Source organism: Homo sapiens, chromosome 2 (assembly GCF_000001405.40).
Source record: "Homo sapiens chromosome 2, GRCh38.p14 Primary Assembly".
NCBI lineage: Eukaryota > Metazoa > Chordata > Mammalia > Primates > Hominidae > Homo > Homo sapiens.
In genome coordinates this window covers 6,964,876-6,990,496 of record NC_000002.12, presented here as the reverse complement: position 1 = coordinate 6,990,496, position 25,621 = coordinate 6,964,876, and the positions used below count along the sequence as shown (strand labels likewise).

At 44.6% G+C, this 25,621-nt stretch overlaps 1 protein-coding gene across 7 annotated transcripts in view, besides 1 other annotated feature; it reads right to left on the bottom strand.

The window, feature by feature from the left end:
* Positions 1-25,621, bottom strand: part of RNF144A (ring finger protein 144A) — a 158,956-nt gene that overhangs the window by 85,871 nt on the left and 47,464 nt on the right. The gene's annotated exons all lie outside the window — the stretch shown is intronic.
* Positions 15,967-17,166: an enhancer, noted in NCBI's record as "MED14-independent group 3 enhancer chr2:7113462-7114661 (GRCh37/hg19 assembly coordinates)". NCBI's record gives its function as "activates an origin of replication core promoter dependent on BRD2, BRD4, P300/CBP and CDK7 cofactors, and independent of MED14, by STARR-seq in HCT116 cells {active_cell/tissue: HCT116}" and the evidence as "EXISTENCE:reporter gene assay evidence [ECO:0000049][PMID:35650434]".

The following is a 25,621-nucleotide window of genomic DNA, read 5'->3' as shown; positions in this document are numbered from 1 at the left end:
TATATATGCTATGCTATATATATTATATGTTATATTATATATTATATATATATATAGCTCTGTGTGTGTGTGTGTGTGTGTGTGTGTGTGTGTGTGTGTGTGTGTGTGTGTAAATATATATAGTCTTTAGGAAGGAATTAAGGTTAAATTAAGGTTAAATGAGCTCGTAAGGGTGGGACCGTAATCCAATAGGACTGGAGTTACAAGAAGAGGACGAGAGAGCTCCCATGCTCTTTCTTGGCCATGTGAGGACACAGCAAGAAGGCAGCCTCTGTAAGCCAGGGGGATGTCCTCACCAGAACTCAAGCACGCTGGCACCCTCCTCTCAGACTTCCAGCCTCCAGAACTGCAAGAAAATAAATTTCTGTTGTTTCAGCCCCGTGGTCAATGGTATTCTGTTACAGCAGCCCCAACTGACTACCATAGGAAATTATGAACCCTGGGAGAGAATGCTGATCAATGTATATTCATTCATGGTAACAAATGTGCCACTGTGGTATGGGATGTTAATAGCTAATTGTGTGTACGTGTGGATGGGTGTATGGAAACTCTGTATTATCTGTTCAATTTGGTTGGAACCTAAAAGTGTTGTAAAAAAATAAGGTCTTTTTTCTTCTTTTTTTTAAGAAAAGGGTATCTACTGTATGATTCTAATTATATGACATTCTAGAAAAGGCAAAACCCTAGTCAGCAAACAGATCAGTGGTTACTGGTAGCTTGGAGGGGGGCGGCTGGGAGAGCAGAGGAGGCTTGAATGGGTGAGTACAGGGCATTTTCAGGGCAATAAAACTATTCTGTATGACACTGTAATAACAGATATGTGACATTCTGCACGTATCAAAACCCATAAAACAGAACTTTACAAAGGGTGATCCTTAATGCATGCAATTTAAAAAAAAATCATTGAGGAGGTCAGGGGCATGGTAGGATGGAATGCAGACTGTAACAAAGGTTCCACCTGTATTAAAAGCGGGTGGGGGAAAGGTGCTGACCAGAATGATTTCGGGAATGGGCCGAACCTGTAATAATAATGGCCAAGTTCATAAGCACTATTCTCCAGGTGATGAAGCTGCCTGCTGCAGGGCATGAGTTAACAGTTCTGAAGCCACTATCCCTTTACACTGGAATGGAAAAAATAAGTAAAGGGATGGTAGACAGTGGGATCCAGGTTTCTCACTGTTGGAGTGGAAGGTCTCAGATAAGCAAGGGTGGTCATGGAATAGAGTTGGCCTCATCAGTAGGAACCCATGTTTAGCCTAATATAGATTCAGGTGGCTAATAAAGAAATATGTATAGACTTGTGTGCACACACCGGTTAGTGTACATACATATGTTTCCTTGTTCTAGCAGCTGACAGGGCACAGAAGGAATGACATCCCAGTTTGCAACAAGCACATCTAGTGCCCAGATCTTGATTCTAACACAATGTTCCAGTTACCGAAACTAGGGTTCACTGGACAAACAGCTGATTCTAGGACTGGGGCAGGACATTGGAGTTGAGCTAGAGGATGTCCAAACAATATAGGAGACAACTGAAAAAGCTCCCAGTGGCTGTAGCTGAAAAAAAACAGAGCAACAGAGTAGCATGAATTATCACCCAGAATAGAAAATATATACCCATGAGCCCATAATCACATAAATAAATGAGGGAAAAGACACATCTCTCATGCAGAAAAATTCCACATAATTTTCATAGATGCTATGCCCTCAAGGAGGTGGAGCCTAACTCCTCATTCTGAAGTGGGCTGTAGAGAATGACTTCCTTCCAAAGAGTGTAGTTTAGAAAATGGTGGAAAAAGGAGCTCACACACGTGAAAAGGACAAACGCTGCCTCAATGAGGTGACCCCGACGGCATCGGGGTGACTGTACACATGGATGGTGTTGACGGTGACCACACCCCTCACCCCCACCAGGATGTGATGAGAATAAGGTTTCACCTCTAGGGTCTTCCTCTCAAAACCAATAACCCCTGTCTTCTTAAGAGAAGAGCATCAAATAAATCCCAATTCAAGAATATTCTATAAAATTCCTAACCAAAAACTGTCAAAGTCTTCAGTGGAAGCCTGAGAAACTGTCCCAGTGGAGAGGACTCTAAGGAGACAAGACCCCTAAATGCAATGAGAGAACTTGGAACAGAAGAAGGACACTGGGTAAAAACTCAAGAAACTGGAATGAAGAGGGTTCCTGAGTTGATAAGCATGTAACAGTACTGGCTTCATATTGTGACAAATGGACTAAACTAACGCAAGACGTTAACAGGAGAAGCTGGGCATGAGGTTTATGGGAACTCTCTGTACTACCTGCGTCATTTTCTAAATCTAAATCCATATCGGTCCATCTAAATCTGTATCTAAAACTAAATCTGTAAATCTAAATCTAAACTGCCCTAAAATAAAAGTTTATTTTTAAACGAAACACTTTGACACGAAAAATCTGAGAAACGCTAAATTAAATATAGTTAAACAGATTAGTTCACTTATTTTTCAGCATTTTAAACTTCTGGTGGTTTTTGGTATGCTAATGAATACCATCACAGTCCAAGAAAGGTACACAGAAGGGCCCAAGGAGCCCATAAAACACTTTCTCAAGCACTACTGCATAGCATTAAAGCTTCGTAAGAAATACAAAAAAAGAAAGAAAGCTGCTCTTAGTCATTTCAATGTAACAGATTTCCCTAAATTAAGATTTTGCAGGAGTACAGAGAAGAACATACACAATCAACAAGGAAGAACCCAGGGGCCAGAGGAAGGGCACCCACCTTCTGAGCACAGGGCCAGATGGAGACAAATTCACTAGAGAAACAGCCACAGACTGGCACCAAGTGGAGGTTGTGGGTGCTTTCTACTTTCTACCTTCACCTACATCTGCAGGTGAGGGTGAAGGGTCAGCCATTGGGAGCACCTCAACTGCAGAGGACAGCATCCATAATTGGACACTAAAATATACAGGGTAATTGAGCAGAAAGTCTACTTACATGGAACTGTTTTCTTTTGTAGACCAGGCGACCTCCACGCAGAGCCCTGTGCTTCTCCCTCCACCCCATCAGAGCATTCTTAAGTCTGTATGTCCCACAGCAGGGCCACAGAGAGGACAGAATTGTGATCTGACAGGGAGACACACACACACACACCCCAGAAACCCTGCTGAAAATGACCTTAGAGAAGCATCCAACACTGCCCCGGGTGTGGCCCCGAGACGCCTCCTTCCTGGCCCCCGCAGATCTGCAGACCAGCTTCTGGAGGCAGCCTCTCTTGCAGGCCACCTGGCTTGGAAAACAATTGCTATTCATGGCAGGAAACTCATTCTTTATTTCTAAGACCAAAACAGTTGATGCAGCCATTCCCCAGAGTGCTGATAAAACACTCCACACACAAACTTAAACGTTTCTCGGTGGCTTCAACATCATGGCCGGTTTCCCACAGAGGACCCAGACACAGCCACGCGTTCTGACCCCCATCCGGGAATGAGATGCAGAGAAAGACACAAAGGGCCTATTATTTCAACACTAATGTATTTGCCCAGATAAACATTACACTTCGGCTACCAGAGAGTAATGCTGTCAAAATCAAACATCGACTCATTAAATTTAGAGTTGAAGGGGGGATGTTTGGATCATCCCTCCTTCTTTTTAGAGATAATTCCCTCATTCTGAGCTGTTTAGGGATTTGCTAAGAAGTCACAGCAACCCTGCCCCTCACCCCAACCCCACTTCCTTCTATCAGATAATGAACCACCCTTAATGTTTTATTGCAACACTTTTGCTAGGGACATAGTCATTCTTCTCTCTGTGTCTCTCTGTCAGACAGAACACAAAGAAAAAGCAGCAGGAGATATATATATGGACATCTATGATAAACCTTGAATAGCAGTGGGCCACCGGGTTCCCTGCCCTGAAGTGATCTTAATCACACTCTGTTCAACAAAGAGCCACTGTGGGGTGTGGGAGACTCGTCTATTTGGTCACCTGCAGTTTCTTCAGTTCCTTCAGGTCAGTACTTGCTGATCTTGAGGGTGGCTTAGGAACAGGCCTCTGGCCAGCTCAACAAGGGGGCAGGCCCGGCACAATGGCTGTCTCCTTCAAGTCCCCAAACAGAAACCTTGTTGCTAAGCAACAAGCCTGGGAAATTTCTGGGTTTGGAGCTTGTCAATCCCTTGAGCTAATGGAAGAAGACATAATGGAGGTAACAGAGTAGGGAGGAGGAAATCGGGTGGAAATGGGCCTCCGAAAGCTTTAAAAAAAAAAAACCGGGTTTTATTGCAAGCTTTGGGAATGACTGACCCATGTGACCCTGAGGCTGTCACTGTACCTTCATGGAACAGTGGCCTCATCTGTAACCCGAGGATGCTGGCTGGGACAGCTGGCTTCCGGGAGTCCTCTAAGCCATCCTTTCTCTAAACCTGTGCAGCCTTCATTCCTTCTGCCCACGTGAAAACCTGTGACTCTGCTCATCAGTGAGAGGCCTCTTCCACACAGGTAGGAGAACCAATCTCAAAGTAAGAGAGTGATAAAGATAAAACATGCGGCCGGGCACAGTGGCTCACGCCTGTAATCCTAGCATTTTGGGAGGCCGAGGTGGGCGGATCATGAGGTCAGGAGATCGAGACCATCCTGGCTAACACGGTGAAACCCCGCCTCTACTAAAAATACAAAAAAAATTAGCCGGGTGCGATGGTGCGCACGTGCAGTCCCAGCTACTCGGGAGGCTGAGGCAGGAGAATGGCATGAACCCAGGAGGCGGAGCTTGCAGTGAGCCGAGATGGCGCCACTGCACTCCAGCCTGTGCAACAGAGCAAGACTCCGTCTCAAGAACAAAAGATAAAACATCCTTTCCAATTTGAAAACCCCATTGATACCGATCAACTTCAGAGCACATGCTACACGTGTGGCTCGAGTTGTATTCCGTCTATTAAACCATCTGAACCTTCCACATCCACCTTCCTAAGAACTCACCTGCAATTCCAATGCCAGAGGTTCCTCCATCCCTTATGCCAACATTTACAAGCCCCTAATCCTTCCACTTACTCATTATCAGTTATTGAGCAAACCAGAATTAGGTTCCTAGGAAGTTCTAAATACTATTCTAGAGAAGGGATTACAAAAGCCAACCAGGGAAGAATGGCCACCAAGGGAGCACTGTCTAATAATAATAATCAAAGCCCTTTTTCCCTAAAGCAGCTGCCTTTAACGATCTTCTCATTGTTAAAAAAAAAAAAAAAAAAAAAAAGAGGGGGGAGGGAGATGAATTAAAACATGCAAAATGACACTAAATCTGTTCAAAGAAACCTGGGGAAGTCCCGCGGAATCACCTTTCATTTATCAGTATTAGGCCACAGCTTTATTTGACCACCTGCCCAGAAAATTATGTATTTCAAATACATAGAGAAGATTTCCTGTTCCACCAAGTCCTGTGTTTCTTATGTGAAGTTTATTTTGATTTTCTCTTTGCTTTCTAGTAACTGGTCAGTGAACAGAAGAGAGCATGGGAAACACTGAAAGAGAGGAATAAACTAATACAATGAACTCTATGGGGTGATAACAGCTGCTTTACATTTCCAGTGAGGGAGGCAAAACATATCTGCAGACTTTGGAGACAAAACCCAGTGGGATGCACGAGTGGACCCCATGCATGCTCTAAAATAACAAAGAAAGGAAAATGATCCTGGCCTTGGGTGCTAGAGGCACCCTTGCATGTCAGGACCACATTAAATCCTAAAGGCTGGGAATATTCAGGATCTGCACCATCAGGAAAAGATAAATACAATTACGCACTCCTATTTTCCCAATGTATAGCAATGCTGTTAAGATGAATAAAACATGAGTTAAAAGTAAATAGTTATTCCCACATGCTACAACAAAAGGCAGAGACATCCTTCCAATCATTCAAGAAGCTTGGGGCCGAGTGCGGTGGCTCACGCCTGTAATTCCAGCACTTTGGGAGGCTGAGGCGGGCGGATCATGAGGTCAGGAGCTCGAGACCAGCCTGGCCAACATGGTGAAACCCCGTCTCTACTAAAAATACAAAAATTAGCGCGGATGTGGTGGCGGGAGCCTGTAATCCCAGCTACTCGGGAGGCTGAGGCAGAAGAATTGCTTGAACCCAGGAGGCGGAGGTTGCAGTGAGCTGAGATTGCACCACTGCACTCCAGCCTGAATGGCAGAGCAAGACTCCTTCTTGGAAAAAAAAAAAAGAAAAGAAAAAAGAAACTTGGTTCCAGGCAGTGCTCTCCTTGCTGGAAATGTGAACAGTGAACAGAATAGGCAGATATTCCCACCCTTGAGAAACTTACACTCTAGCGGGGAGACAGAAAATAAATAGATAAATCGGTAAGATACACAGCTTGTGAACTATGCGGGCTCAGTGGAAAAATGAGGCAGGGAGAGGGAGCTGGGGCTGAGACTGTGCACTGAGCACCCCGATGCACCAGAAAAATGCAGAGCACTGTGGCCCATTGGGAGGTAACTGCAACCATCCACAGACAAGATGGGGATTGTCCAACATGGCCCAATGACAAATAGGGCTGATGGCAAGTAGTCACATTCTGGATATACTTTGAAAAAGAAGCTGCTCAGAATGTGCAGTTTCAAGATCGGTGCTGGAGAAAGAGAGGAGTCAAGGGTGTCTCCGAGGCTTCTGCCCTATGTAGGCAGCAGGACGGAGCTGCCATCTGAGACATCTGGGGAGGAGCACATCTGTGGTGATGCCAGGAGGGTCACCATCATTTGCTTGCATGGCTGTGGGAACACCGAGTCCCCCTGAGCCTCAGCCTCTCCTTTGCTATAAGGTAGACAGACACAGTGGGGGCCCACACAGGAGGATTCCGGTACAAGGCTCAGAAACAGTCAGGAAACTCCTGACAGAAATCCTCCAGGAGAGTGGGTGAGAGGTCAGGACCAAAGTAATGGACTGTAGCCACCTGCATCCTGAAAATGTCACTTAAGATCTGCATAAGAATAAGTAGCGCTCTAGCATCCTCTGCCATCAGAAAGGAAGAAGAGACAGGACTAGTGATTTGGGCTCCATCCAGTGCTACACGATGGCCAGAGGCGTGATGCTGACTGTAAACCTCACTACCAGATAAAAAGGCTGTAGGGCAAGTCAGCACTGTCTCCTTTTAGAACCTGAGCTCATAGAGATCCACAGTCCCCCAGGGATTGTTCTAGAAAGACAACAGTGTGGAGCCAGGGAGAGGGCCCAGGGCACACACACAGCTTCCAGGAGACTTCTTATAGAAAAGAAAACTGGAGCCTTTAAATTCCCCTTCTACCACTTAAAGCATGCCAAACAGCTCACACAAGGAAGGAGACTTGCAAACACTATGTCCTCCTGGTAAGGGAGACGGTATCTTTAGCAAAGGAAGCAGTAACATCTGACAGCCAGCAGCACAAGCATGGGAGAGGCCAGCAAATACCATTGAAGAACACACGAGTTATTCACGGACCTGGAAACTGCAGCACCTCTAGGACAAAAGCCTTTCCTAGGCTCTCTGCAGATTCTTATTTCTACCTTTAGGTACAGCCAGAGCTCACTGGGAATGACAAGCAAATCATAAGCCACTAGGCAGAAGCTGTGGCATTCCATTTCACGGGGCCTCAGCTATTTTCCAATGTACTAAAGGTGTGAGAATGATTAAAAGATCCCTCTTTTTAGAAAACAAGCACAGAAACCCGAAGAATCCCAATGTTACTGCAGCAGGAAGATGACTGTGACAATAATGTGATAATAATGTCACCAAGTTTGATGTTCTCCAAAGCACACTGGCCCAGGATCCATGAAGTTGCCACTTTCTCAATCGTCTGATTGCTACAGACATGGCCAGGGCTCTCACCACTCTCTCCCTTGTCCCTCTTCCTTTTACCCCACAGCCGTTCTCTGACATACTTGACATCGGCTTATGTGTTTGTTGTTTTTTCCCCGAAGGAAAAATGTTAAGCTGTATCAGGGAGTCAGTCTTATCATCCAACTGTTTACAAAATCTATTTGAATATAAATAATTGCTATAGTTTGTCATTTTCTTTATTGCCTAGTTATCTAGGAAGAAAAAAATACTAGCGTGAATCAGGCAATGCCTCCTTCCTTGGTGTGAAGAGGGCAATTCCTCTTCCACAACCATGGAGCCAAGTAAATGTGATGGGCGCTCTCCCTCCATTGATAAAATAAAGAAGTCCCCATGTACCTAATGCACCCATCTTCTGACCAAATAATGACACACAGCACATTGCAACACACTTACGAGTAGCTGCAAGGTTTACCAATATCTCTATTCTGTATTCTACTTTATATTTTGCCACTCATGTGAAGTCAATGATAAGATTTGGCTCTGTGTCCCCACCCAAATCTTATCTGGAATTGTAATCCCCAGTTCATCTGTCCATGAACAGACCTGGTGGGAGGCGACTGGATCATGGGGGGCAGTTTCCCCCATGCTGTTCCAGTGATAGTAAGGGAGATCTCACGAGATCCGATGGTTTTAAAAGTGGCAGTTTCCCCTGTGCGCTCTCTCTCTCCTGCCGCCTTGTGAAGAAGGTGTCTGCTTCCCTTTTGCCTTCTGCCATGATTGCAAGTTTCCTGAGACCTCCCAAGCCTCATGGGGAACTGTGAATCAATTAAATCTTTTTTCTTCATAAATTACTACCTGTGGGCCGGTAGTATCTTTATAGCAGTGTGAAAACAGACTAATACAGAAAATTGGTACCAGGAGTGGCATACTGCTATGAAGATAACCTGGAAATGTGGAAGCAACTTTAGAACTGGGTAACAGGCAGAGTTGGAACAGATTGGAGGGCTCAGAGTAAGACAGGAAGATGTGGGAAAGTTTGGAACTTCCTAGAGACTTGTTGAATGGTTTTGACCAACATGCTGACAGTCGTATCGACAATGAAGTTCAGGCTGAGGTGGTCTCAGATGGAGATGAGGAACCTAATGGGAACTGGAGCAAAGGTCACTCTCACTATGCTTTAGTAAAGAGACTGGTGGCATTTTCCCCCTGCCCTAGAGATCTGTGGAACTTTGAAATTGAGAGAGATAATTTAAGGTATCTGGCAGAGGAAATTTCTAAGCAGCAAAGCATCGAGATGCGACCTGGCTTTTCCTGAAAGCACACAGTTACATGCATTCACAAAGAGACGATATGAAATTGAAACTTATGTTTTAAAAAAAAAAGCAGAGATAAAAGTTTAGAAAATTTGCAGCCTGACCATGTAGTAAAAAAGAAAAAACCCATTTTCTGGGGAGAAATTCAAGCCCGCTGCAGAAATTTGCATAAATAACAAGAAGCCGAATGTTAATCAGTAAGACAATGGGGGAAAATGTCTCCAGGGCATTTCAGAGATCTTCAAGGCAACTCCTCCCATCACAGGCCTGGAGGTGTAGAAGGAAAAAATGGTTTTGTGGGCCAGGGCCAGGCCCAGGCCTCAGCTGCTCTGTGCAGCCTTGGGACATGGCACCCTGGGTTCCAGCTGCTACAGCTGTAGCTAAAAGAGGCCAAGGTACAGCTCAGGCCATTGCTTCAGAGGGTGCAAGCCCTAAGCCTTGGCACCTTCCACGTGGTATTGGGCCTGTGGGTGCGCATAAGGCAAGAGTTAAGCTTAGGAAGCCTCCACCTCGATTTCAGAGGATGTATGGAATTGCTTGAATGTCCAGGCAGAAGTCTGCTGCAGGCCAGAGCCTTCATGGAGAACCTTCATGGGCAGTGTGGAAGGGAAAGGTGGGATTAGAGCCCCCACACTGAGTCCCCACTGGGGCACTGCCTAGTGGAGCTGTGAGAAGAGGGCCACTGTCCTGCAGACCACAGAAAGGTAGATCCACCAACAGCTTGCACTGGGCACCTGAAAAAGCTGCAGGCGCTCAATGCCAGCCTATGAAAGCAGCTGCAGCGGCTGTACCCTACAGAGCCACAGAGGCAGAGCTGCCCAAGGCCGTGAGAGCCTACCCCTTGCATCACCATGCCCAGGATTTGAGACATGGAATCAAAAGTGATTTTGGAGCTTTAAGATGTAATGACTGCCTGGCCAGATTTCAGACTGGCATGGGGCCTCTGGCCCCCTTGTTTTGGCCAAGTTCTCCCATTTGAAATGGGAATATTTTCTCAATGCCTGTACCCCCAGTATATCTTAGAAGTAACTAACTGGCTTGTGATTTTACAGGCTCTTCGGTGGAAGGGACTTGTCTTGTCTCAGATGAGACTATGGACTTGGACTTTTGGGTTAATGCTGGAATGAGTTAAGACTCTGGGGGGCTGTTGGAGAGCATGATTGGTTTTGAAATGTGGAAAGGACACGATATCTGGGAGACGCTGGGGTGGAATTACATGGGTTAGCTCTGCATCCCCACCCAAATCCTCATGTCAAATTGTAATCTTCACATGTTGAGGGACAACAGACCCAGTAGGAGGTGACTGGATCATGGGGGCAGTTTCCCCCAGGCTGTTCTCATGATATTGAGATGTTCTCATGAGATCTGATGGTTTAAAAGTGGCAGTTTCTCTTGCATGTGCTCTCTCTCCTGCCGCCTTGTGAAGAAGGTGCCTGCTTCCCCTTCACCTTCAGCCATAATTGTGAGTTTCCTGAGGCCTCCCCAGCCATGCAGAATTGATTCAATTAAACCTCTTTTGTTGATGGATTACTCAGTCTCAGGTAGTATCATTACAGCAGTGTGAAAATGAACTAATACATTAACTCAATTATCTTCATGTAACAGATTAAGAACTGAGGTTTAAGAGGGATGCACAATTTGCCCAAAGTCCCTGGGTAATAAGTGGCAAATTCAGAACTTAAACCTAAGTCTCTCAACTTATGAACCCCACATTCTTTTCATGTACACATCACCCTGGAGGCTTCTGTGGAGCCTGGAAGGCTCATTCATAAACAATAACTTCTGGTCCCCCACCAAAGATGTAATTGCTAATCTGATTGTTTCACCTTTCGAAATACTAAAGAGGCCACCCTCAGGAAAAAAAAAAAAGCTAATGATTTCTTTTAACTTTTCACACCTGAGAAGAATGTCTGTTTCATCACAGAGTCTTCTAGGTATTAAACAGGTCTTTGGTTTAACAATGGCAATGACAGACCATTTAGTTGGCTAGGATGCAGAGATAAATCCAGTGCTCAACTTCCCCAATCATAATCACACAGAAGGCACCTCTGCCTCCCTCACAGCCAGTGCTGGAGACTGCCTGTCCTAATAACCAGGAAAAAAAATATCTCATCTCATCTGCATCTCCCACCCTCCCTGTGAGGAAGTCCACGTGATCCCTACAGCCTTGGCCAAGACTGAAGACCACAGGCTCAGGGTCAACCCACAGCAGCGCCTCCCACTCATTCAGAAGAGACATCTCTGTCCAACATCCCTCAGATCCACAAGGCTGAGCCCCTATCCCAGCCCCTCGCCCACTATTCTAGAACTTAGACTCCAATAGGCACTCAGGAAACACACAAGGCTGCTCCTGTCTCTCTACTTTCTGACCCTGGCTGCAGAGACCACCAAGTGCAGATGAGCTCATGAGACAGAGAGGCAGCCCAGAAGTTGGGCAGAGATACGTGGACCCTTCATGCCACCCTTTCTTCTGGATGCCAATCCTCACCCATCCAGTGCTCCATCCCTTTGCTGGACAACAATGGGAAACTCTGTTAGCTATAAAAACAAACCACAGAACTTACTCAGTTCTGACATGGTGGTGATGATCCCCACAGGTGCAGAAAGAGAGCTCTCTTCTAAAGAGAATATTCACAAAGAGAGAAGGAAAGCCTCCAAACAGACAGGGTCCAGGCTCAGACTGCAGAACCAGCCTACTTGTTTCCTGAGCATTCAGCTTGGTTCTGAGTCCAACCTCGAGGGACTTGAACATGATCACATAAACTGATGCAACCTTTCCTGGAAGGAAACAGAGATGTCAACTTCAAATTATTCCCAAGAAAACCCCGGCAACCTGGGAAGAGTCTTCAAGGCGGGGAACGTTCCTGCTGGGAATACCCACAATAACACAAGTCTGTGTGGAGTAATTATTCCCAGCCCCACGTTCGAACTTGGGTTTTTACCCCTGGAACCTTTATAAGGTGTCCCTGAGCTTGGAGGCACCAGTCACAAAGAAAAGACATGGGCTGTCTAGAAGTCTGTTCCCAGGAAGGATCTTGTTGAAATGATAATGGGCCTAATGGGACTATGTGCTGTTAAGAGAGTACAAGTCCTTGGTCACTTGAGCATCATTAATATAGAATTACAGCACCAAAAACAATAGAACCCACCATATCCAACCATGTTTTCCACATTCACAGGCCATCATAGGCCTCTGACACATAAAGTCCTGTTAGGAGCTTCCTGTCATTCCAGAAAGAAGTCCACGTCCTCCAGAGCTATGCAGGACCACAGACACCTTTACCTCACGAGGGTGCCCACACCTCCTCTCCTCTCCTGGTCTACTAGCCCCTGTTGAGGATGAGGAGTGAGGCTGTGATGCAGTTCTATGGGTTCCCCAAGCTGACCACATACCCACCAAGGACACTATTTCACAAGACGTCTCCCAGATGGAAACTTCCAGTGACTCCAGGGTGATGTATCTTAAAGGCAAACTCCCCAACAGCTCCCCCCGACACTCACTACCATCTATGCTTTCATTTTCTCCTTAAAACAATAGGCTTAATACTGTCTACTGTGTAACTTATTTCTCTCCTTTATGTTCTTTTTGTCTCTCCAGAATAGACACCCCAATGAGGGCAGTAGTTTTTATTTGCTGGGTTCACTATTCTATCCCAAGAATTTATAACAGTGCAAGCATAGAGGAAGTGCTCCATAAAAAATTGGTCAGTAAAGTTTAATGGACACTCTAAAGCTCGCTGCCTGGGAGAAAGCTCCTGTAACAGCAATAAAAGGTTTACCGCTTCTCCTGCACCAGAAGTTTCCCAGTAACAGAGATCATTTTATGCCCATATAATATCAACTATTTGGTATAATGTACTACACGTAGAAAGTAAATATTTACTGAGTAGTGACTCAATAACCGCTAGTAATGAGGTGCGATCCTCTCTGCAGTGAAATTAAAATGTGCATTAAACACTGAATACTGATGCTCAGTGTTGATTTGATCCCAATGAATTGATGTTACGATGTTCAAAAGAACCATGTCCAGTTGTCTGTGCTTTCGTGTCATTAACTCAAAAGGCATACGCAACTTTCCCTTCCTGGGAACAAGGAGGCCTGGCTTCCAGCCCTGGGCCTGCCTCCTGCCAGCCCTGGGATCTTGGCACATCTCCTAAGCTCTCTGCATCCTGCTTTACTCATGTGGAGAACGACAGGGCTTATTTTCCACCTATAAAATCAACTGAACATTTAAAAAATTGTAATAACTTGGTTATAGTCTTAGAGAAAGCAATAAACATGGCTAATGGTAACATACAATGAACTAACACTTTTGAGAGGCAATGCGTAATATTTATCAAGGAACTTAAATTTTTTTAATCCTTTGATCAAGAAGCCCAATTTCTGGGAATTTCATCCATTGAACAAATAATTGCAGGCATGAAAATGTGGATTACAGCATTGTCTGTAATATTAAAAAGCTGCAAGTGCATGAATATAATATTTTCAAAGGCGTATCAGACCAGTTTTTTTAAAAAAAGAAGAATATGTATTATAGAATGACATTTTGCAGGATTAACCAATAGCCTTTTGGTATAATTTTGGTAGGTGAAAAGTAAGCATAAACCCCATCTGTTCATTATGATGGTACAACAGACAAAGGAAAGGGTAGTACATACTCACACAAAATCATTTCTTATGAGAGTGAGGAGTAACTGTTTTTCTTTGTGCAATATTCATATTATATATAAAGTTTATATATGAAATGTATATATAATAAATTTATATATATGAAATGTATATATGACATATATCATTATATATGAAATTTATATAGTTTTATATATATGAAATTCATATATATATAAATTTCAAAACCTTCTGCAAACCAAAGAAAGTTACAATAAATAACAAAACGAAAAACATTGCAAAATGTATCCCAAAGAGTTATTCTCCTTAATACATACATAACTTTATAAATTGAGAAGTAAAAGAGCAACAATTGAATAAAAAACGATCAAGGAACGAGATAAAATTCACAGGAAAAGAAAAACGGCCCTCAAACAAACACAATTATAAGAAGAGAAATTCACTCTTACTATATCAAGATGCCATTCCCCAACTATCAAGTTGGCAAAAATTCAAATATTTCGCAAACCCTGTGGGGGAGGCTGTAGGTCAACCATTACTCACACACCTTACTGGCTGGAGTTCAAAATGATATAACACATGAAATGGGGAAAATGTCAATATATCTACCAAAGATTTACTACATGTACCCACTGACCTAGTAATCCCACTTCCAGTCATGTGCCCAGTGGAGGAAGTTAGTCACTGGGGTCTTGTTTGTAATACCAGAAGACTGGGAATAACTCAAGTAGCAGGCTGTGGACTAAACCATGGAAGGTCTGCACAATGGAATACTGTGCCGCTGAAGAAAGGATGAAAAAGCCTTCTATCCATTCAAATGGAAAGATCTGCAAAATGTGTTAAGTGAAAACAGCAAAGCATAGAACAGCATATATCCTACGATAAACTTTGTGTACTTATTTGTATTCACATAAACACTGCATGGATATCCAAGATTCTTTCATTTTTTGAGACAGGGTCTCGCTCTGTCACCCAGGCTAGAGTGCTGTGGTGCAATCTTGGCTCACTGCAGCACTGTCCTCCTGGGCTCAGGTGATCCTCCCACCTCAGCCTCCCAAGTAGCTGGGACCACAGGCCTGTGCCACAACCACACCTGACTAATTTTTGCATTTTTTGCAGAGATGGGCTTTCAACTTGTTGCCCAGGCTGGTCTTAAACTCCTGATCTCAAGCAATGTGCCTGCCTCAGCCTCCCAAAGTCCTGGGATTACAGACATCAGCCACTGCATCTGGCCGAATATCCAAGATTTTCATTGAAGGAGTTACTTAACATGGCGAGGAGGGCTGGGCAGTGGAGAGAATGAGCAGGCACAGGTGGCAGTTGGATTCTCAATATATACCTTTAAAGAAGTTTGAGTGTGAATCACAGGCTGAAAGGGTTTGGTTCTGTGTCCCCCACCCAAATCTCATCTTGTAGCTCCCATAATTCTCACATGTTGTGGGAAGGACCCGGTGGGAAGCATGGGGGTAGGTCTTTCCCGTGCTGTTCTTGTGATAGTGAATGGGTCTCACGACATCTGATGGTTTTACAAACGGGAATTTCCCTGCACAAGTTCTCTTCTGTTGTCTGCCACCATGTGAGATGTGCCTTTCGTAGTCCTCTGTCATGATTGTGAGGCCTCCCCAGGCACATGGAAATGTCAGTCCAATTAAACCTATCTTTTGTAAGTTTCTCAGTCTTGGGTATGTCTTTATTAGCAGCATGAAAATGGACTAATACACATGAATATTTAAAAATCACAAAGATTTTAATAAAAATAAAAGCCATTATAATTATTCAGAATAAAAAGATGGTCTCTTAACTTCTTTTCCGGTTATAACCAAGCAATCATGCCTACTCATTCTATACATCTATTTGGCTACTCAAAGAAGGTTAGGAAATGTATTTTAGTATTGTATAAATTACCAAAAAAATTCCAAATAATATTTTAATTAATTTTTTGTCTCTGAGCTAACTCGGAGTTCCAAAAATGTCAGCATATGTCAGCTCCCCTACATGTCTCTTCTTAATTTAAAACCTGAAATGTATTTTATTGTCAAAAAATGCAACACCCTTGATGCACCTGCCTGTCAAGAGCTAAGAGTTAAACAAGGTTGGTCAGCTCACGGCAATGTGAATGTAAGACTTACTTTCACAATAATTAAGTAAAGTCTGACTTACTTTCACAGTGCCAGCCTTTCAGGGAGGCTTGTCTTTTTCCCATAAGAAAAAAAAAAAGCAGTGTTAATTCAAACAAGAATTATGCACTAATAATAGCTAACATGTTTTAAGATCTTACTAGGTGCACCAACTTATAAGCCACTTAATCTTACAATAGCTTAGTGAGGTAGTATTATTATCTCCCATTTGGTACAAGGAGACTGGGGCACACCAAGGTTAAGAAGCTTGTTGAATATCACACCACCACGGACACGGCAACGGCAGATGGATCTCGGCAGTCTGCAACCAGCCCCATGCTCTGAACCACAATGCTGTATTTAATTATTTTCTGAAAACTAGAATGCATGTGGCACGATGGTCATAAGGCAGCCATAATCTTGACAATGTGCAGAATCATGCTACAACTGCCATTCTCCTTTCTTGAGAAATCAATACTATTCAGCACTCCTGGAGAGCAGGTAAGTCTGTAACTTCCACCCTCCCACTTTACAGGCTGCGAACTAGGTGGGGCTGGTAAATGACGAATCTAAGATGAATTAATGAGCATGAGCCATAGCCTAAAAATCTAGATCCTCCAGAAGTCTCACTTACTCTTAATTTCCACATCTTTCCTTCTGTGGTGAACAATGTGCTATCCTGAAGTCCAGTAACAGTGTGGACCAGAGACTGGCAAAGTCTTCCTGCTAAGAGCAAGATGGAAAATATTTCAGGCTTTGTGGATCATGGGGTCTCTGTAGAAAAGACCTCTCTGATGCTGGAGCACGAAGCAGCCAGAGACGGCACGTAAGCCAACGGGCATGGCCGTGTGCCCGTGAAGCCTTATTTATGAAAACAGGCAGCAGGCTGGATTTGGCCCATGGACCATATGCTGACCCCTATGGTGGGTACTGATGATTTTCTAGGGGTGGTGAAAATCCGTATCACCATTCCAATCTTCTCCTTTCTCTAGTAAATATTGGAACAAAGTTAATTTTCCTAAAATTCCATTTCCACTCAAAAGACTTAGGCCTGATGTGAAGCCCTTTCCCAACCTCATCCTCACTGGCCTATCTTCCTGCAGCCAGTGTGCACCGTGCTGCCAGGCTGGCCTTCTGCAGAGATGCCCGCCCTGTACTGTGAAGTGACCAGGAGGACCTGCTACCCGGGCCACCTTCCATCAGCATTTAATCTGCGTGTTTGATGGCAATACGAGGGCCTTACATGCCGATATACACAGGAGAAATGGAGGCAGTACAATAAAATTAACCCAACTATCTGTGGTTAAACAGTTAATGACAATTTTAGGATAAGCACCTAAGTCTCTTTATCCAAAGATCCTAAGACACCACGTGAGTCTAATATTAGACACAACATCCTATACTGAAAAGTGTGCATCTTCTGGGATCAGAAGCCACTGAGTTTGAACCCCAGCTCGGACACTCAACCACGTAGGCAAATCGCCAACACTTAACACTAGCTCCAGTTACTAAGGCACCATCTGAACCTGCATTAGTTGTATATTGCCTCATTTAATCCCTTCAGTAAACTGTGAAGCAGGCATATTCATCCCCATTTCATAGATAAGAAAATAGAGGCTTTAAAGTTCCCCAACTTGTCCAACGTCACAAAGTTAGTAAATGTCAAGAGCCTAGCTTCAAACAGAGTCAACCTGGCTCCAGAATCCTACTCTTCAAACCATAAACGTGACCATCTCTTGGGCTTCACTGGTGCTGGTGTCTACCATTATTATAACTATTACCCCCACTGTTAGAGGGCATGCACCTTTCTAGCAAAGAATTAAACTCTTCCCTGCGGATCTTCTGCTTTGCCAGATGCAAGCCTCTGTAGGTCCTTTTCTCTGGGAGTTTGGGCCTGGACGTGGCTCAGGAACAGAACCGCAGTCCTTGGACTCCTTGGGATGCACTGCACCCCCAGGGTGGAACACAACCCTGAGACACAGCTGGCAGCCTTGTTAGCTATGGTCCTGCGAAACATGTGTACGAAACAGTAAATCTCTAAGGTAAGATGGTTTATGTGCCAGAGAGGCCTGGAAGAGAGGGAACCAAAAAAGGAAAAGGATTGTCAAGGGGAATCTTCCAATCCCACAGCCCCACTCCAAGAAACAGCAATTAGCTCAAGGAACAAACCCCCCGGGGCTATTTCCGTTCCACCCAATCCACCTGAAAAATTATTCTAAAAAGGAAAAAATAAGTGATAAACACACGAAGCCATGTGCAGTTAAAGAGGGTAAGTGGGGGTTAGCATAAGAAGTTATATAATCTCCCTTTTGTAGCTAGGAGGAAAGTTATCTCCCAAAGTTTGACAGTTGAACAAAGAAGTACAGCAGCATCTCAGACTGTCACTCAATCTTGCTGCAGACCTGCCTGGCAAATGACTGAGTGTGTGCCCACAATTCAAACCTGGAATGAGGAGGAGGGAAAGAAGAGGAGGCAGACCAGTTAAGCCTAGAATCCACTCTGCTGTTTGCTGTTGCTCTGGCTTCAAGGGAAATGGGTGGGTTTAGGTGGCTTCAGCTTGATTTGAAGTTACTTGTATAAGTTTGTGGGCTGGATCGGAACCCTGGGGGGAGACAGTAATTCCTCCCCAGGGGCCTATGTGAGAAGAAATGGGACTCCCCTTCCAAGGATCTCCATTCATGAACCAATCTGCAATTCCCCCTTTTTGCAAACTATTAAGAAAAGACTAGAAAGGAAACTGCATTAGGTTCAAAAGAACAAAATCAGGAATCTAGAAATAAACATTGTATACTATCTTATCCCACAGTAGAGAAATATCCCAGGTCCCACTGAAAAGCAGAGAAGCAGGCTTAGGTCACTGGAAACTGGGAGTTGAATCCATGCCAAAAACAAAATGGTCAGAACTAGTGAGAGCCCAGGGAGTCCCTTTGTCCAAGACTTCATCTGATGTCACTCAGATACATGGCACATCAGAGGACAGGATTCCAAGGCCCAGGTAAGCAGTGCTGCCGCTCCCCATACACGTGCCAGAGCTGTCTGTGTCTAGAATAACTGATTGCCCCATGTTAGCCAGTTCCACACAGCTGAAGACTGCAAAAGTGAAAGGTTAAGGAAAAATCTCTCATTGATCCTGAAACTGCAGCATGCTCTCTACCAGACCCCACCTCAAAATGCAATTTGTTATTCAGTCTTAACTCACCCATGACCTGGTTTGCTCCATATTTTAGTTTTGCAACATTTAATATCCTTCTGGCAGATATGCTGAAGAAGACTGGAATCACCACGTATACTAGACAGCCTGATCACTGGGACCCCACACCCTGGCCATCCTTACCATCCCTACCGGGGCTCCCAGTCAAAAGAAGGTAGGCCCACTCAAGGAACCAGACAACTGAAGGAATATTAAAGCAGGCAGCACACCCGTCCCAAGAGGCCTGGGCAAGACTCCCCAGCCAGAGGTTACTGTCCAACCAGCTGGAGCTCCTGCAACAAGGACAAGGCCAAAGAACAATAGGAAACCCAGTAACCACACACCACAAAGTAAAATGACACAGTCACTGAGTATTTCTGTTTTTCTATACTTGCCAGTTATTTTACAAAGTGTATGTTACACTTTGCAAAAAGAAAAACAAGTAAGAAAAATGTGTCAAATAAGGAAAGCAAGGTAAAGACGAGTGATTTTAGTGCACAAAATTCATATTCTCAAAGTTTAGTTTTGCACATGACTTTGTGCACTAAATTTTATGCAGGCCATGCCTTGGAGGCAACAAATTTGATTCAAAACTTCAAACAGGAATGAGGGCTGCAGGAGGAAGGACTAGGCCACTGGAGAAGCCATCAGATGGTGAGAATAATGCAGTCCTGTGCCTTGTGCAGAAAGCAGGTGCAAGTCACTGCCTGGTGAAGCTGGTGGCCGAGGGTGTGGACACTGGGACAGACCCTGGGCTCATTGTCCACCACAGCCTCTGCTCTCTGAAGGGACCTGGGCAAGTTCCTCCCTCTCCAGGCCTCAGTTTTCTCCTGTATAAAATGAGGAAAATGGTACCAGTTGAATAGCCCTCATCCAAAATGCTTGGGACAGAAGTGTTTTGGATTTTGAAGTAGTTGCATATACCTGATGAGATATCTTGGGGATGGGACGTGTATTCGTCTGTTTTCATGCTGCTCATAAAGACATACCAGAGACTGGGCAATTTACAAAAGAAAGAGGTTTATTGGACTTACAGTTCCACATGGCTGGGGAGGCTTCGCAATCATGGTGAAAGGCAAGGAGGACCAACTCACATTGTACGTGGATGGCAGCAGGCAAAGAGAGAGAGGGCTTGTGCAGGGAAACTCCTGTTTTTAAAACCATCAGATCTCATGAGACCCACTGACTTTCACGATAACAGCATGGGAAAGACCCGCCCCCATGATTCAATCATCTTCCACTGGGTCCTTCCTACAACACATGGGAATTATGGGAGCTACAAGATGAGATTTGGGTGAGGACACAAAGCCAAACCATATCAGGACCCAAGTTTAAACATGAAATTCACTTTTGCTCCATATACACCTTATACCCACATAGCCTGAAGGTATAATTTTATAAAAGATTTGGCCAGGCGCGGTGGCTTACGCCTGTAATCCCAGCACTTTGGGAGGCTGAGGCAGGTGGATCACAAGGTCAGGAGATCGAGACCATCCTGGCTAACATGGTGAAACCCCGTCTCTACTAAAAATACAAAAATTAGCCGGGCGTGGCAGTGTGCGCCTGTAGTCCCAGCTGCTGGGGAGGCTGAGGCAGGAGAATGATGTGAACCCGGGAAGCAGAGTTTGCAGTGAGCCGAGATCATGCCACTGCACTCCAGCCTAGGCGACACAGCGAGACTGTCTGAAACAAACAAACAAACAAAAAGATTTGTAACAATTTTGTGCATGAAAGGAAGACTGACTGTATTTTGCCTGCAATCCGTCACTTGAGGTCAAATATGAATGTTTTCACCTGTGGCATTGTCAGCACTCAACGTTTCATACTCTGCAGTATTTCAGATTTTGGAATTTTTGGTTTAAGAATGCTCAGCCTGTACTTTTATTAAAGTTTCCTGGGGCTGCAGTGACAAACACCACAGACTGAGTGGCTCCAATAACAGAAATGTATTTTCTCACACTTCTGGAAGATGCAGGAGCATGAGCAGGGTGTGGGCAGGGTCAGTTCCTTCTGAGGCTGGGAGGAAGGATCTGCTCCAGGCCCCTCTCCCTGGCTTGTCGGTGGCCGTCTTCTCTTTATATCATCTTCCTTCTATGTGTATCTCTGTCTCCCAGTTTCCCCTTCTTATACGGACACCAGTCATCCTGGGTTAGGGCCTACCTCAATGACCTAATTTAAACTTGATTACCACTGTAAAGGCCCTCCCTCCAAATAAGGTCACACTCTGATGTACTGGGAGTTAGGATTCCAACATACAAATTTTAAGGGGATACAGTTAAGCCTATAACACCATTTAGAATAATGAGGATTAAATAAGTTAACAGATGTGGCACCCTACTAACAAGGCCTGTAATGGCATTGATGCACTACAGGAATGGCCATCATTATTGTCATCACTACTGATATTTAGCCCCAAGGATGGGGTATTACCTAACCTATTGGCTATAGCCCTGGACCAAGAGGCGGTATACCAGGGTGCACCCTGAGACCACATGCTGCGCTCTTGAGGTGCGGCTCTGAGCCCGAGACCTCATCTGACCAGCAGGAACCCCCATATTTCACCAGCCTCTCACTGCCACTGCAGGGACTCCATGGGACAGCCTGAACACACAACACCTGAGAACACCGTGGGCTCTGACCACCAGTCATGCTTGAGGAGGATGATGCCAAGAGACACTGGCAATGCCCTCGCCAAGTTCACAGTGCCTGCTTTGCCCTGAAGAAGAGTTGATGCGTTTTTCAAGACACTGTGGCTAAATTTGTAAAAAAAAAAACACATTGACAGGTAATTCTGGGTGTTATTTTATATGGTAGGAGAAAAGGATTTGTTTTCTCAAATGTGTTTGTTTCTTGTGATGAGAATAGACTGATCCCAGTAGGGGGAGCAAAGCTCTTTTCAAGACCAGGCGATGGGCCAGCAGGCATAGGCCCCCAGGACTGCTGCAGCCACAAGAACACATTTCAATTACTGGAGCCGTGTTCATGTTCCCAGAATAAATCAGTGGTTTGTCCCAGCTGAGGAGGTGAAGAGCCACTGGCAAAGCCAGCTGCACCCACTAGGAGTCTGTTCTAACCTTGCCTGCTCTGGGCCCGAAGTGTTCACTGTTCCCCTCCTTCAACCAAAATAATAGAAGAAAGTACTGTGCCCACGTATTTTAACTTGCAACTCATCCTGCAGGATATTCTGTTTCTGTACCTTCAAATGCAAATACGGAACACCAGAAGAGTTTAGAACATACCTCCCCTAGCCTTCTCAAGGGTGGCCCAGAGAAGAGAAGGTCCTTGAGGAAGGATCAGCAAGGACAGGGTGGCTGCCCACACTGGGCTGTTTTACGTGATACCATTCTGGGACTAATGAGCAGAAGAGACATACCATTCAAAAGCAATTGACGCCAAATCCCATAGAATTAAGAATCCTTTGAAGAGGACACCACTTCCCCTACTCCATAGATATCAACAACTCATTACACGCAGTGACCCGTTTCTGAAAAAAAACACTGTTCCTTAAAATGCTAACAGAAGGTCCACTGAAACAGGAGTTCCAAAGTCAAGTAGCTTAGTGCTTTGGGTTTGCAAGGATGTTCATGAACTTTTAATTCATTTGATATTTCCAGCGAGCTTTTGAGTTTTCCCTCATTTTACACATTAAAAAAAAAGGAGTCTATGGAAGTATCTTAATTTGGCTTCCCCAAGAGCAGAGCCTGAGACAATGATTCCTATGCAAGTGATTTATTTAGTAGGTGAGTTTCTTGAGCCAAGGAAACAGTTGTAGATGTGAAGAAGTGAATGAAGTACAAGTGAAGGATTCACCACCGCAGTCACTACTGTTAATGGATGCTTAATCCCATGGAGGACTCAGACAGTCACTGTCACACCCCTGCCTCAGTTACCCAGAAGTAGGGAGCAGCAGCTGAGATCTACCAACTCTGTCTCCCAAGACTGGGGGCTGCTCCAGGGCAGGGTGCCACAGGGCGAGGCTGAGGGGCTCCTCAAAGTCCCCATGCAGAAAGGGGCAAGGGTGGGGCACAATGGGATACTAACAAGACCCTGGGCCGGTTCCCTTCACCCTCATCCTCTTCCCCCATAACACTGGTGCTCACACGCCCCAAGGGAAGTTTTCTGTAGCAGACGACAAACGAACTACGTCTTCTGTAGATGAAGAATTACATGTTTCACATAACATTTTCAAAGCTTGATTTATAGTAATTTGTCAGAATAAACTCTCATTGGAGGAAGAATGACCTACATGCATAGTGATGGGTAAAGTTCATTATCACACATGTACGAACTGATAAGAACCTTGACTCGGCGGGTGACCATGGGAAACTGGAGAAGCAAAGGCTTGCTGGGAGAGTCACGGAAAGGGAGAACATCATACAGGCATATGGGGGATGGTATGTGGGGAGGAGACAAAGTTGTCTCCAAAATGGTTTGCGTCGATGGCTGTAAAAACTGACACCATGAACCAATGCACTAAAGCTAAAGCCAAGAGAGGAAGGTCAGTCGGGAAAAGAAGTCTGTACAGGGGAGAAGCATGGATCTTCAAGGATCAGGAGGGCTTCCGGGTGGAAGTGGCCAGGATATATATATAACCAGAGACCTGGCCACAGAAAATCCCCACCAGGAGTAACAGCAGCTCAAGAATCGCCTTCAGTGCACAAGCTTGTGCTGCTGCCCTGACTATGGACTTCCTAATTATCCTGTTCACAGAACACTCTGCTCAGTTATTATCCTATTAAAGTTGAAGTCGCTTCAGGACTCCTGAAAATAGCCCCTAAGTCACTCCCCTTCTCATGCCAATATTTACTGTATTTCAAAACGCACGACAGGAGGTTGTCATGGAAAAGGAACTTGGCTACTATTAACCTCTTAAAATATTCTTTTTATAGTGGGCTGCTTTAGACATTTTGGTGACTGGTGATTTCTCCAGGGGCAATTTATCCTTCTCCCCAAACCAACCTCAGAGCACAGACTTTTCAGGTTCTGGGAAGACCAAAGTGGGTGACGCTGACCACGGCTGTTTAGTCTTCGTGTTGCTGCTGTTTCTGCATCCTAGCTAGAAGGTGAAGAAAACATCCAACATTTGGAGAATAACTCAAACTTTAAAATATTCCAGTGTTTCTTTAGTCTTCGTGTTGCTACTGTTTCTGCATCCTAGCTAGAAGGTGAAGAAAACATCCAATATTTGGAGAATAACTCAAACTTTAAAATATTCCAGTGTTTCTTTAGTCTTCATGTTCCTGCTGTTTCTGCGTCCTAGCTAGAAGGTGAAAACATCCAACATTTGGAGAATAACTCAAATTTTAAAATATTCCGGTGTTTCTCTGGCCAATATTGTCATAATCATACTCACACAGTCTATTTAAACCACCATTTCTTCTTACTGTGAAATATATGGGCTAAGACTTTGAAGTACCTGCAAAGGTCGGGGCTAACAATTGTGGCTGAGTAAACAACTTCCCCAATGCTGAATGTGCAATTCTGGTATTTGTGTGTGTGTTGTGGGGGTGAGGAGCGGTCTTTTTTCCTTTTCTTTCTTTTTTAATGATACTAAACATTTAACTTCTTCAAACCTAAAATGCACATCCTGTTTAAAAACTGAAAGCTTAATAAGTGAAAACCCTGATAGGCAAATTTTCTGTCTCTTCACCAAATACAAACAGCATAGCAATCTAGTAGGTAAAAGAGAGATTTCCTTTTAAGATTATATAATTACACTTAATTACCAAAAGCAATTTTTATAAATCTCGTGCCTTTTTCCTTATTCACCTGGAAAGGATGGGGAAACAGCGTCACGGATGCCATCCTGAAGATGCAATCCTGTCCCGTTTCCCGAAGCTCTGCGCCACCACACGGGCCTGCAGCTCCACCCTTGCCACTGAGACAGAGTCACCGCCCCATCTTCCCGCTGTTTGCGCTTAGGTTTTGCATTATGCCTCAGGCTTAGAAAAGCTTCTCCCTCTAGAAGGCACTGGTCCCTTAAACTCCATAAAGGCCCTGAATATATAGACGTTTCTGTAATTGAGTAATTGACACAAAGTTGCTCTCCGTACACGGGAGGGGTCTGGTGCTGTAGGCCCACTCACCTAAGAGCTTCCACCTGCCTTCACATGTGTGGTGGGGGCCGCTCCCCACCTTGCAGGGCACCACTGCCTCCTATGACAGCCTCCGACACACCCTCCTCATGAGCTGAGATCGTGTCCTATTTCCCTATTTTCCCTCCAGGCCCAGAAAAGCCTTGCCTCGTCCCAGTGCATGTGTCTGCAAGGTTGTTTCACATTTCTTGTAAATATCCTCACAACAGGCCTGCCAGCTATGGTGGAGCAAACATTTGAAATTTGTTGAGTACACCTGTTTGTGGACAATTCCAAACAGGGCACCCCGCACACACACGCAGGCAGAACTCCTCTGTGTGCAGAAATCCTACTTGTATACCTAAACTCCTTGCTACTGTGTTGAGTGCAAACCCATGCTCCCTCTTTTTTTTATTTTTATTATTATTATACTTTAAGTTTTAGGGTACATGTGCACAATGCGCAGGTTAGTTACATATGTATACATGTTCCATGCTGGTGTGCTGCACCCATTAACT